At 38.8% G+C, this 14,492-nt stretch overlaps 1 protein-coding gene across 18 annotated transcripts in view; it reads left to right on the top strand.

Annotated features, from left to right (window-relative positions):
* The window catches only part of NCKAP5 (NCK associated protein 5), a 1,003,049-nt gene that overhangs the window by 409,305 nt on the left and 579,252 nt on the right, over nt 1-14,492 (top strand). The gene's annotated exons all lie outside the window — the stretch shown is intronic.

The raw sequence follows: 14,492 nt of genomic DNA, 5'->3' as shown, positions 1-14,492 counted from the left end.
TGATTGATGGTCAGAAATAGGATATTTTCTGGAACAGAGCGGAGCGCTGGTGCAAGGCCCTCTCTGCTGCTGAGTCCTAGGGACCTCCCGGGTGGCAGGCCTTCCTCCTCCTCTCCTTTTGGCCCCACCCCACCCTACACTACCCCTTAGAGAAAAAGGGCTGTTAGGACATCCTCATCTCAGGTTAAGTGCTGAGCCAGCAAGCCAGTGTTCGCTTTCTTGCTGAGTAACAGGCAGCCACCCCGGAATTTCTCTTCTTATCCTTGAGGCTTCTGAGTTTTATGAATGAGGCCCGTGTTGCTGGACGCTACCACTTCCCTTTTTATTTTCATCCCCACTAACTTGTTCACTCGTTCACTCCTCCTTATACATAGGTACCTAAAATAGACTACCCCTCTAGTAACCAGAACTATTCCTGCAAACGCTTACAAGAGCATTTTCCAGAAATAAATCATTTCATATCAGTATCCCTTCCTCAGTCATTTCCCGGCTTCATGCCACCTCCCTCCTAAGACACAGAATTGGTCATTTCCACCACTTTAAAGACACAGTCTAGATAAAAAGCCTGCATTTATAATGTTCTTTGCAGGAGTAGCTTTTGCCTATTTTGTGGGGGTTTTGTTTGTTTTTTGTTTTCTGTTTGATACTCCCTCTCAAACTGCAGCCTCCCTTCCCTTTTCTGGGATGGCAGCCTCCTTCTCTGAGCCATCCTGGACTAACATTTTCTGGACTAATAAATTTCTGCACCTGTCTCTACTCCTTCTCCTTCCCAGTCTGACTGTAAAGGACCAGATTTCATTATCAAATCAATTCTCTTTAGAAGAACTTTGTTCTGTAGCATTTCTTTCCAGGACCCCAATATTTTTGGCAGAGTATTTTCATTATTTAAATTGTCGTACTTAGCTTCTTTTTGCCTATGGACATTACTTTGGAAAACCATGTGATGTTTCTGAGTCACTGATTTGTTCCTCCAAACAAAACTTCCTTCAGAGGCTCCCATATGTTGGGCACCATTGTAGGCCCCCGGGGGTGGGAATGGAGCAAAGACAAGACCCAAATGGGTTTCAGCATTTTAAAGCCCCCATTACAGCTGGTTTATGGTTATTGCTATGATGGTTAATGTGATAACAGCACACTACATTTGACTAGGACTTTACAGTTTACAAAAGGCTTTCAAAGACATTATCTCCATTAATCCCAGCAGCAGGAATTTTAAATAGCAAGGATTCCACCAAAAGGCCCAGTAATGCTCACCAATCCTGCTTAACCAAAAAGAAAAATATTGCAAATCATCCTAACAGCTGATGGAGCTTTAAAACACAGAATAAACAATTCATAAGAAGCTTCTGAAGCTTAGTTACTGGAATGTAACTTGGAGAAGATAAGTGAAATGCACGTAACATGTATATTACCAGAAGGGTGTCTTGGAGAGAAACTCCATCCTGGGGCTTCAGTGGCCTGGTGAACTGCTGGAGGTGGAGGCTTTCCAGGGCTCTGGACTATTGCCTTATCCTAGGATCTAAAATGGGATGAAAGTGTTAGCACAAAGTTGCTGGGAGACTAGCAAATTAAGCAAAATGAGTAGGCAATGATGTTACTTTCTTTAGCTACAAAGCATTCTTGAGATATCCGCAAGTTTCTAGCATATATTTACTTGAGAAATGAAGCAATTTTCTGTACTTAGAATATAAAAAAAAGAGTTTGTGTGCCTTATGTGAGCCATAATGAAGACAATCAAGGTTTTGGTCATTTTTACCCATTACTTTGAAAACCAGTCATATCTCACATGGATAAATGGCAGTTTCTCTTTTTTAAAATAATTTTTAGGGAGGATGTACAGAAGGCCTTTGTGTAGATTCCTTTTCTCCACTCCTTGAACATGGAGGGCAGCCCTTCTGACTTGGTAGTTGTGAATATCATTCATGACTTTCCTCCAGAAATGGTTTTTATAATGCTAGCTGATAGTCATAAATTTTGGTTTGCATTTCAGATATCATGCTGATCTTGTGTATCATTTTGAAAACTTTTGTTCAAAGAAGTTTTACAAGCAGGGTGGTATACCATAGGGAGATTATTATGGCTGGGGGCTGGCTTTGGGTATGACTAGATAACAGATAAGCCAAGAAGTAATCCTAGGGCAAGGTCTGTTATGAGGAAGGTTCAAGATGCCCAAGGGAGCTTTTTATTGTTTAATAACCATGAAGGTTGGTGGCAAGTTTTAGACATGTAGAGTTTTTTTTTTTTTTTTCCTAGAGAGTTTGTTTACTCAAGCCTGTGACTCTGTATTTGGCATTCCTGGTTATTATTTTCATTCCTAAATATTACAGCATTTTAGTTTAGAGCTAACCTAAATCTCTAGGTTGATTATATGTCAATGAAAAGCACATAATGCAAACAATGTAGATCTATTTGGGAAGTTAGATTGGGCATAGTGGGGCGGGTGAGCCCTCTTCTGGCAAGGGACTTTAGTAGCTTCAGGTTTTCAAATGAAGTTGAGAGAGAGGTGAGGCTGATTCCAACCTTAGGCATACTCCTCAAATTTTTCTATAAAACATGAGAGACTTGAGCAGGGAAAGTTAAGAGCACTGTGCTGATGGCTAACATCATCCGGGCTCAGGGGTGTCAGTCTTCTTTGTAACCCCCTAATCAGCGGCCCTATTATTTGTGCCATCACCCAGTAAATATTTACCAAGGGGCATTTTTGGAGAACAAGCCTTCCTGCTTTTTATGTGGAACTGTGCCATTTCATACTTAGCTGATACCTTGTTCCTTTAAAACGTTTAATAGTTTTGTCCTGTTGGGTTTCTGTAGATGAATAAGAATGTGGGTGGTTGAGACTTTCTTGCTGCAGGGTAGAGGTGCAGTATTGCTCCTGAAGGCTGTTGCCCCGACGGGGATTGCTTCCTGGATATTACGCCCTTCCATCCTCTTTCTCCTAATAAACACTGTTTTCACATGGTCCTTTCTCTCAGAGAGTAGGTGGCATAAATGAACAGGCTCTGTGAACTTGTTACTCATCTCAGACATGAACATAGCCTACAAAGTGCTTTAAGAAGCATGTCGGTACCTAGATTTCCAGGTACTGTAGCAGGTGGGAAGGGCTTAGAGAACGGGAGAGAAGCTAATCATTTTGTGTTGTGTTGAAAGGTCTTGAACATAAGTCATAGCACTTGCTGCTATAGGTAAAACTATGGCCTCTAAATAGCCGGAGATTTGGGAACTCAGAATGTTGCTAAGAACACATGTTATGTGGGATTACTCCTTCAAACTTGGGAACATGTAGGTCTGAACTCAAAGCCTGATTCCCTTATTTATTATTGATGTGATTTGGGGCCAGTTTATGAATCTCTCTAACCTGTTTCATCATCTATAAAAATAAAAAAAAATTATGTGCATTTATAAGATGTTAAGAATAAAATCTAACACATATTAGGGCATGAGACAGTGGCCCACACACAAGAAAGCCAACAGATGTTAGCAGCTATGGTCTTTTAATATAATTTTCATATCACTTTGGACTGGATGAGACTGGCTATTTCACATTAACCTCGTCTCTCAACCTCCTCCCTGCACCCTACAGAGAACAATCATTAATAGGGAAGTTATAACCTGAAGCAATTACATTGGCATTGGCATTACATTGGCATTCCTGGGTATTATTTTCATTTCTAAATATTATAGCATTTTAGTTCAGAGCTAACCTAAGTCTCTGGGTTATTAAATATTGCTGCAGCTACTTTTAGAGGGAGTGTGGCCCTCCGCAAGTATGATGGAAGATGATACCTATTCTTTCCTTGAGATACAAACAGGTCAGTTCATGAGATAAACCAGTTTAGTTTAAAGATAAGCTTCGACATTTCAGTTAACATTAAATTCATCAAATGCTTGTAAAAAGTCACTGTGCTTGGGCTGCAAGGGATGCAAAGATGAAGAACACAGTCTTATTCTCAGCTGGAAGAGGGGTTTGTATGATAAGAAATAATAATAGCATCATAGTAAGGAACATCATCATAATAAATACATCTGTCACTTATTAAGACCTGGTCTGTGTCAGAAACATACTATATCTTTGGACCTTTTCAAAGACAGCAGTATTGATATCTGTGAAATAGATATTTTCTCTGTTATGTTAGAATTATTATATAATAAGGTAAACTTAAGTGTTATAGCGGTGTTATTAAATAAAACACTGTGGGTTGCAAAGGAGAGAGTTATCCTATGAGATAAGCCTACCTTGGGTGGTTTTTGCTGGTACTTTGAATCGTTTGGAAAACTTGAAGGTGATTTCTGTAATAACTACAATATACAGGGTTGTATTTGGGTTCAACAATCTCTTGATCCCCTACACTCCGTTCACAGCATTATAGAAATGCGAGAGAAAAGATTGGGCTTTTTTAATCACACAGCAAAGAATTTATTCTTTTCCATTTCTCAGTTCTTTGCTCATTTTCATTGCAAATACCTCCTGGGAAAAGATCCTCCTCACCTTCCTTGTAAGGTTCTTCCTAGTCTAAAGACCACATTATCATCAGTAATTTTTCTGGTTTATTTTTTCTATTAATGAGATGTAAACTACCAACATTTTTTTCTAATTTAATTTGTATCAAGTTTCACACATATGCCCACATGTGCCAAATGTTAAGCATGGCATTGTAAGTAAGATAAGATGAATTAATTCAACCTACTGGCATTACAGTCAGATTCAATATATAACACACAGTTCACCTGATGCAAATTTGTATCAGCTTGCCTTCTCCCAGACTGTTCTACTTTTGTTTTTCCTCTTAGTCACTTTTTTAAAACATAAACTTGTTAAAATACTAATATCGTAGTGCAGTTCTTTTTACCTCCGTCCGAGGGACAGGCGTCCAAATTCAGCTGTCACTCGCTCCACTGTTTTTTCCTATTGTGATTGTATAAAATGGACTATTTATTCAAAATTCTGGCATGGTACTTTTATTGTAGGAGTCCTAAATTTGCCTGCATTACTGTGACATGGGAGAAGAATCATGTAGGGCTATCTAAATATTTTGTTTCACCTATGAATTTTGATCTTTAATAAGAATGTTTTTAAGGGAGTTGTGAATTAACTCAAGAAGGCATTGATTGATCTGTATAACCCACCCTTCACTGTGTTCCAGTGTAAAGGAATTACAGCACCAAATAAGTTCCAACTAAACACTGCATTTCTGTGCATAGGTGGAAGGCCTCCTTTCCTGCCTTTTTTCACTCATCTGTTCATTTATTAGTTTACTCAACAGATGGTTATTAGGTGCCTACCATGTGTCAGGCAATGAGTTGGACTTAAAAGAGTGATTACCACTGGTGTTCTTTATTCTAATATTGAACATTTGGCAACAGAAAGTCACTGGTTCTTGAAAGAAATGAAAGAAACACATAAAGTTGACATCACATGCATCTGCCCACTTATGGCTTTTGACAGCTTTTAGATGAGACTTACTTATTTTAGGCTGCCTCATCCTCATTGCATTAATATACTTTAAAAAATTGCTTTCTCATTTTACTAGGGCTTTCAGAAGGAAGAAACCTTTGTGTCTCTGTACCTCATACTTTATCCCAATTTTCCCCAAGACATTTCCAGCTGCCTTTTTTTCTCAGTGCCTGATACCTAGTAAGTGTTTAATAAATATGTGTTGAATAGAAGACACGTAGAAAGGAAGGAAATTTGGGGATTTACTGTATTAGAAATTAGCAAATTATCTGATTTGGCACTTAACAGACCCCAAAAGACCTGTCCCTCTTTTTCTTCTCTTCCTATGAATCGTTGTGTCTACTTTAGATCAGATTAGGGAATATATCCTCTTTTTTCACTGGACAGTCAATTTCAGGGCTTGGTGCACACCACGACTTTGTATCTGTGGTTTCTTGTTCAACATTTTGGCACTGGTGATGATTTTGTAGAACTTTGGAATCCTGATGTTGCTTTGAGGACATCCCTCAGTCACTCTGCTAAATTACATTACTCTGAGATTTTTATTCTGTTTTGACATGATCTCCCTCTTCCTCTTGCTACACTGACATAGTTGGAGAAACTCATCTTATTTTCATTAAAACATACCATTTATTTAACATACGTACAAGATCTTAGGTTTCATGAGTTCATAGTAATTAGTTATAATATGTAATTAGTTATAAGTTAGTTATAAAATTATTTATAAAATACAAATGCCTTCAAGGAACTTAAAATTTAGGTGAAGAAAAAGGACACAAAGCCTGTAAGATTCCCCCAAAACACTTAATGTGGAGCTGGGAATTAGAAGAAGGAAATCAGTGGAATGGGAGATTGGAAGATAAAGTGATGGATGAGGCTGGTGTGGTTGGGATAGGCCAGCTGGGGGAAGGAGAGTATCAGCTGACCCCAGTGGGACTTAGACATGAGGAGGGAGAGCACTCTACCCCGCAGAGGGCTTGAGCTCAGGCAGGGACCTGAGCACCTGGAAGAGAGGGTGGGAGGTGGAGGTGGAGCGGTAGCAGAGACCCATTAATATGGGTCATCACATGCATGCTAAGGAATTTGAACTTCACCTTTTGGGCCAGCATTTCCCAAGACCCCTCTTTCTGGAAGGCTAGTTCTGTTGGATATTGTAGAACTGTTAGTCAAAAGAAGTCCCCATGGTTGAAAAAGTAAGAAAAGCTGGGAGAAAGTTTAAAAAATGTTTCTCTCCTACAGAAGTTCTCTCTAAGAATTTCTTAAAATAGTTTTGATCACTGAATCTGTTACTTTTGGTTTTCTTCTTCTCTTCTTCTTCTTTTTTTTTTTTAATTGAGACAGGATCTTGCTCTGTTGCCTAGGCTAAAATGCAGTGGCACAATCTCGGCTCACTGCAACCTCAACCTCCCTGGGCTCAAGTATTCCTCCCACCTCAGCCTCCCTAGTAGCTGCGACTATAGGCATGCACCATCATGCCTGGCTAATTTTTGTATCTTTTTGTAGAGACGGGGTTTTGCCATGTTGCACAGGTTGGTCTCAAACTCTGCTAGGCTCAAGCAATCTGCCCATCTCAGCCTCCCAAAGTGCTGGGATTTCAGGTGTGAGCCACCATGCCCAGCCACTGAATTTATTCTTAAGGGAACATATTGTGGGGGCTGTTTGTAGAGGCTATCTTAGGAAATGCTGTTGGAAGCCATTGACAATTTTGAGTCAGAGGTGATGTTGGGTAGGTGGTTTTAGGAACATGAATCTGAAAATGATGCAGAGGTTGGATTTGAGTGAGGAGCAAGGAGTGATTAGGGGCCTAGTCACAAGTAGTTCAGATTTCTAAACTACTTCTATGCAGTAGTCAAAGACAGTGAGGTGCTCCAAGGGTATTCCAAACCCAATGAGACAGGGATGTCTTTACAAGCATGCACTGTTTTGTTTTTGGTTTTTGTCTGTTTTTGGTGGGCACTGTATAGTCCAAATGCTTTCTCAATAAAATGCACTTAAAACGCAACCCAGCTAATTCAAGCCAAAAGTCAAGTGTAAGTAATAGTGCCCTTAGTGACTCTGTGCAGTCTTTAGCGCTTCCTGCACTGGAATGGGCTTATGTAGGCTGAGGGAGTATCTACAATGTGGAAAAGAGACTCTACACCCTACAGTTGGGAATCTGGTTCTTTGCGTGGCCCAGGTGCACTTCTGCTGGTTTTCCTCATCATGACCTTTATCTGAAAGGAGAGTGGGCACAGTATAAAGGTCACACAGATGTTGCTGCCAGCTCTTTTGAGTTTATTCATTTCTATGCAAAGATTTTAGCACATAATGTTGGGTCCCTTCATTTGTCTCTCTGGTCTCCAAGAACCGGCCTCTAGGTTTGTTCACAATCTTCATGTTCTCCTTTGTCTATGTACACAAAGTTAAGCATCTGGCCTTTCAGCTATTTATGTGAGATTACACGGAATAATGATTTTCTTTTTCCCTGATTATTTTCTATTTTTGAGAAATGTTCTCAATATTTACAAAAAAGGCAGAGGAATAAAGCAATACTGTATGATGAAAAGCTGTGCTGCTTTTTCTCTAGAATTGTTTATCAGAGTAGTTATCGTAAGTGTCTTAGTTTTCTTATATATTTATGAATATAAATGCATTTAGCTGCTTAATTAATAACTCATTTGTTCTCTGTATTTGCTTCTCTCCATTCTTACGCCTGTTATGATTCTGTTCCTGCATTTGGGAGCTTACAAATGATTCAGACTAGTAGTTATTAGTGTGAATATTTCTGAATGTTTTTCTCTTTTGTTGTTTGCAATTTCATAAAGTATCTGGATCCATTTTGTTCCTAGTTATATTGCTTGTTGGCACTTCACATGGCCTTGAAAACCTTCAGCTGTGTTTCTTTATGCTCTTGCTTGACAGGTTTCTGACCACTGGTATCTTAATATTAAATTAACTTGTGCTACATAGACATATCAGTGTCCTTGAGCATGTTGACTACTTCAAGCTGAAAAAGTTCGTATTGATTCCTGAATTCTTTTTTGGCTGTCTACATTAGATAAAGTCATGGTATAATTGCAAAATTCGCACTTTTCTTTTGAGTAGTGATTGTGTGCGCGCGTAGGTCCTACAGTCTGTAGAGGGTAAGTAGGGAAAATTATGATGTGTCCAGCCTCATTATCTAACTATTGTCACTGTTTGACTAGCCAAGATTAAATGGTCTTCTGTCACTATATGAATCTAGGAGAGAAGACACAGAGGATGAGGGCTGCAGCCCCAAAGGGCACTTACCTGAGCACATTTATGTTAATAAATGGCCTCTAGTGTGCTAGATTGAAACAGGAACTTTCACTTTGTTTTAAACTATTGACTGTACATTTCTTCCATTAATTGTAGAGTGACAACCAATGAATGTGAGGTAATGATATGTCTCTACTGGTTCATGTGGGCACATTCATTTTCTAATTAGGTGGTTATAATACACTGAAGATATTTTACATTTATCTATTTTTTTAAACTACAAATTGTGTATGCTTGTGAGAATATTGACCTTGCTTTTTAATATGTGGACTTAGGATAATTTTCTAAAGTTTCCTAAATGTTATTTGATAAAAATACAGATGTAAACATTATATATTATTAACATTTATAATAAAACAATTACAAGCAATTTAGGAAGATTGGAATAAACATATGCCAAATGAGCCATAATCACTCTACAGTGGTTATTTTGGGGTCACAATTTTTCCTAATGGGGTTGTTAATTCAGATGAAGGGTTTCATCTAGATGCCTCAATGTAATTTCTATTTTTATATTATCGAGTTCAATAGAGGGGGTAAGGCTCCTATTTGTTCAATGATAATATGTCAAACAAGTGAGAATATATCACATAAATATAAGCATACAATTATTGTACATATTAGTGTTAGATTAGTACCATTAACCCCAAACTAAGTGAAAAACTCAAAATTAAATTGATCAGATTATATTTCTTTGGTTTACTTAAAATTTCCAATTATTTCATCAAGCAGATTGCTTTTTTCGGGTTTAATTAACCATCATTCCTTCCACTTTGAAATAGGAAGCACGATGTTTATTTACATAATAGAAGATATATATACAGACTTGGGGCCTTTGGAAAAATAAAATTTTAAATCTTTAAGGGAAAGCATGTTCCTTACTCCCTGTCAGTTCATACTTATGAGTTTGCACATAATTTGTTCATTAATTAAACACTTGTTTTTAATTCTGTAATGTAAGCTTTGTATACCCATTCTGATCCTAGATTTTACTTCCGATGACAGAATGTTACATAAATTGCTGAGACTACCAGAGATACCATTTGGTTTCCAAAACAGGATAAAAGCTGCTGCAAGGATTCTAAGCAATGGTTGGCAAGGGCTATTTTAATACTCTTAGCTGCCACTGCCCACCCAAGGGGCAGAGTTTGTCTTTATGGGACATCTTGTATCTCATTCCACTGAACAGAACAGCCATTATCTATTGTAGACCTCATTTCGTATCCATTCGCACTAGGAGCCCTCTGTTTGTCTGTGTCAGGACTGTATTTGTACACACATTCCCTAAAGCTGTCACTTACACCCCTCCCCCCAAGGAAACTAACATAAGTGAGTGGATCAATGGGGTGGGAAAATGTAGCTATTCAGTAGAAACCACAGGGTTTCTGCTTTTCATGGCTTTGCTTCCAAAAATATTAATAAAGAAGTGATGTATTAAATAGTTATCTTTCAGTTTATTTTATTTTGCATTTTTAAAAGAGTGATGTGTCCCAAAGCTCTGGAAACAAAACAGTATTTATAAGAACATTTATCCTGGAAGGAGGCAGGAAAATACAAATATTTGGGAACTGAATACTTCCGTGGTAACTATGAAGTGGAGAACTCTCAAGTTAATTCAACAGCAGTTCTTTATGTATCTATAGGACATTTTTCCTTTTTTCTTTCTTTTATTTTTGTTTGCAGAAGTCCTTTATGTCCAGTATTTTATTCTGACAACCACCACAAAAATCTAAGAAGTTATTTTATTATTTTATAAAAGAAAACTTTTTTTTCATAGTCAAATTGCTTGTTCAGTTTCACACAGCTAATGATTAGGTCAGAAGTTGAATTCAAGTTCCAGGCTCCTAACTGAAAGCTCTTTTTTCACTGTACTGCATTGCTTCCATTTACATTATTTATTATATTATTTAAAATAAATGTTTATTTAGTAACACTTCTTTTTTATTCATCCCAGTTCTTCAACTCTTTAGAGACCAGTAATTCTGTGATATACTTTATGAAAAACATAACAAGAATATTGAGAGAATGGGCTTTGCAGTTACAAACCACAGCTGGGTTTCAAATCCTGACCTAGGATAACTTACGTAACTTCACCCAAACTCCTATAAATTGGTGTCCTAATACCTATCTCAAATTATTATAGTGAAGATTAAATTAGATTATGTATGTGAAGGACGAAACCCATAGTAAAGGATCAGATGATGATACCTTTTCCTCCTTGTTGATATTATCTGTTGCTGAATAACAATCTCCAGACTTAGGGTTTACAACAATATCAACTGTACTATCTCTCACAATTCTGAGAGTTGATTAGACTCAGCTGGGTGGTTCTTCTGCTCCTCATGATATTGTCTGGGACTTCAGTCACCTGAGGGCTCAGCCTCGTCGAAGTATCTGAGATGGGTCACTCCCATGTCTGATGCTTCCTACTGAAGCATCAGACATGGAAAGCTGGGTTCCTCTGGGGTGACTGGGTGTCTTTTTCCCTCCATATCATCTCTCCACATGCTCTCTCTAGCAGGACTACTTACATGGTGGTTCAGGGCAAAAGTGTAAACTTCTAGACCTTCCTAAGGCTTAGTCCTGGAGCTGGCATTGTGTCACTTCTCTCATGTTCTATAGATCACAGCATGCCACAGGACCAACCTGTTTTCGCTGTGGGAGGAGATTACACCAGGTCATGAATATTGGGAGACAGGGGTCATTGGGGGCCATCTTTGGAGATCAGCTGCTATAGTTATCATCATCTAAAATTTTTTAGGCATGTTTCCCAGGCTTTTGCAGTGGAGCAATGAATGAGTCAATGCCAGTGAGAGAAGTGAATTTCTGCTTATTTTTGTTACTCCTGGAGTTGACGGAAGGCAGATATCCTGGTTGCTCTTTAAAGAACATGCTGGAGTCCAGCCTTATCTCTTACTCTGAGCTCCACATTGTAGGGGAGCTGGTGGGACATGTCTGGCATGGGTCCTTCAGTGGTTTTGTGATGACACTTTCTCACATTTGAATTTATAATTTTAAAGCACTTTTACATATATTTTCCCTTTTTTTCTCACTAAAATACACATTTGGCCTTGGCCTGCATCTTCATTTTACATATAAGGAAACTGAGACTAGGAGTTTAAATGATCTTTAAAATGTCACCTAGCTTGAAAAAGGCAGAACTCAAGCTCTACCCCAGAGTTTCTACAACTGGAATATTGCTTCCCCATCCTGGTTCCATTCAAGGGATAAATATGATGAAACGGGGGGTGAGGGAGTCCAAGGCATGGGGGCATTGAAAGGAAGCCTTGGGTGGTAGAGAGGGCATAAATCTTATCTAGCTCTGCCACTTTCTGCCTTTGTGAAACCCAGTGATTAACTTCTGTCTTCTATAGCCTTCATTTACTTAATTTGTGGGATATACTGCCTCTTCCATGAAATAAGGAAGAACAATACTTGCCTTAAGCTCTTTGTAAGCTTATCATCAGTGTTTGATGAAGTAAGTTATGTAAAGGTCCGGCAGAATGCCTGGCACAGAGTGAGTCTTCTAGACACATTAATTCTCTTTCCCTCTCTCCCAGAATTTCTTAAGGAATCTGCTTTCTGAGCCACAGAGCTGAACCTGGGTTACATTTTGAAATGCATTGGGCATTCTTGGTGTACTTTGCATCGTTGAGTGGAAAAGTTGGGGATTGCTTGCCTGATTGCCCAGCAGGAACTCTGTTATGGTTATTCACTTTAGCAAGAGGCAGTCTTGGTGAGGTTGGCATCTTTACCCTGAAACACAGGATTCATTATTCTCTAAGAAGGCTGGCGAAGTGAATGAATGGGACTGACAGAGTCTTCACCTCACGTGCCACAAGTTGCTATCTGCAGACCCCCTGAGGCTGGCTGCCTGCTGAAGGACAATGGTAAAGGGTTGTGGCTTGCTTTTGTAAATGGCTGCTTCAGCATATTATTCTGGACATTGGAACGAATTCTGCCAGTTGCAAGTAAGTCATGAATTTAAATTTATGGGCATCATGCACTATAACTTTAGAACCCTTGTAGACCCTATTTTTGGCTGGCATTGAGGAAAGCTTTCTCCATTTGTCTTTGGTGGTGCCCATGGGCAGCCTGACTTTGGCCTAAAAAACCTCTGGTCTCATGGGGGCTCAGACCCCCAGGGGCATAGAAAAATCTTAGGGCACCTTCTTTTGTCTAAATCAGTGACAGGGCAGAAGAAACATGCCATTGGAGTTTAAAAGGGACTGCTTCACGGCAGCATTACTGTACGCAAAGACCTCTCGTGGTCTGATCTGACAGTCCCTGTGCTGCTGAGGGGACCCAGCTCCAGCCAATGGTAGGATGTCTATGAGTTGTGATGTTGTTGGGAGCTTGTGCTTTTGTGTTTTCTACTTGGCTGTGACTAGAAAGAGAGCCCCGTAGTGAAAATGGAAGTTCAAGTCATCTCTTTTCTGCAACTGCTTCTAGGAATGGTTACATCCAAACGAACATGAGCAGATGGATTTCTTTCCATTTAAGGGCCTCTGGGCAAAGTGATTTTATAGCTCTTCTAAGTAATCCTTACTACCAGGAACTCTCTCCTCATTGATAATAAGCACCTCTCCCATCTGAAAACCAAGCTTCTGTTCTCTTGTTTGTTTAATCAGGAGATGTGGGGATGAAAATGTCATCATCCTCTGAATAATGATGCTTCCAGTATAGGAAGGACACTTTTAACTCACTGAGCCTATCTTTCCCTTACCTTATGCAGTTCCAATTCTTGGACTAAAGGTCTGTGAAATATTATTTTTCCTAAAGAAATTAAAATAAAAATTAAAATTTTAGTGGGTTATGACTGTGGCCAAACATTAGGAGAGACTTCCTCATAGTTTCAGGGCCTCTGGCCTCAATTTCAAAGAACCACTCCAATAAACAAAATGCAGTTGATTACTCTTGGGGCAGAAATATGCATTTGGATTGTGTCTGGTCTTCATTGCTGTTAAAAGGAATATGCTTTTTAAGATAAATGTTGAGTTCATGTTTCTTTACAGTCTATACACTGATTTCACTTATATTTTCTTTTTCTTTTTATTTGTATGAATTACTGGGATGCAAGTGTAATTTTGTTAGATGCATATATTTCATAGTAGTGAATGAGGGCTTTTCTCATCTTCACATCTATTAAATAAGAACTATTATTGCATAGCAAATCTCTGCTTTAGGTTACAGTTTGATAGAGTGCCTTGTAGAGTCAATAATGAATGATTTTATATGCTTTTTTTATACTTTGGCATCTGCTATGTGCTAAATGCTGTGTTTAGTGTTGTCATCCTCCTTAACACTCCTGTGCCCAATGAAGTCAAAACCATGTGGCCAAATAAAGTCCGGCAAATTCATGCAAGGCTTGGCCTATCTTTGGGGGAGCTCAATGGCAGTTTTAGGGTCTGGGTAAAAAAAAAATTTGTCTGTTTTCTTTTCCACTCCACTGTATGTGGCTAGCAGCAGATACAGGCATCCCTCACTGTGCTCAGGGGATTGGTTCCAGGACCTTTCACCAGTACCAAAATCCATGGATGCTCAAGTCCCCGATACCAAACCACATAGGATTTGCATATAACCTACACACATCCTCCTGTACACTTTAAGTTATCTCTGGATTACTTATAATACCTAAAACAATGTAAATGCTGTGTAAACAGTTGTTACACTGTATTTTTTCTTTGTGTTTTCTTATTACTGTTATGCTGGGTTTTTTTTTTTATTTTTAAAGAATGTTTTCAGTGTGTGGTTGGATGAA

This window comes from Homo sapiens, chromosome 2, assembly GCF_000001405.40.
Source record: "Homo sapiens chromosome 2, GRCh38.p14 Primary Assembly".
Taxonomy (NCBI): Eukaryota; Metazoa; Chordata; class Mammalia; order Primates; family Hominidae; genus Homo; species Homo sapiens.
Note: the sequence above shows the minus strand (reverse complement) of the source record. Positions and strands in the feature narration are given on the sequence as shown.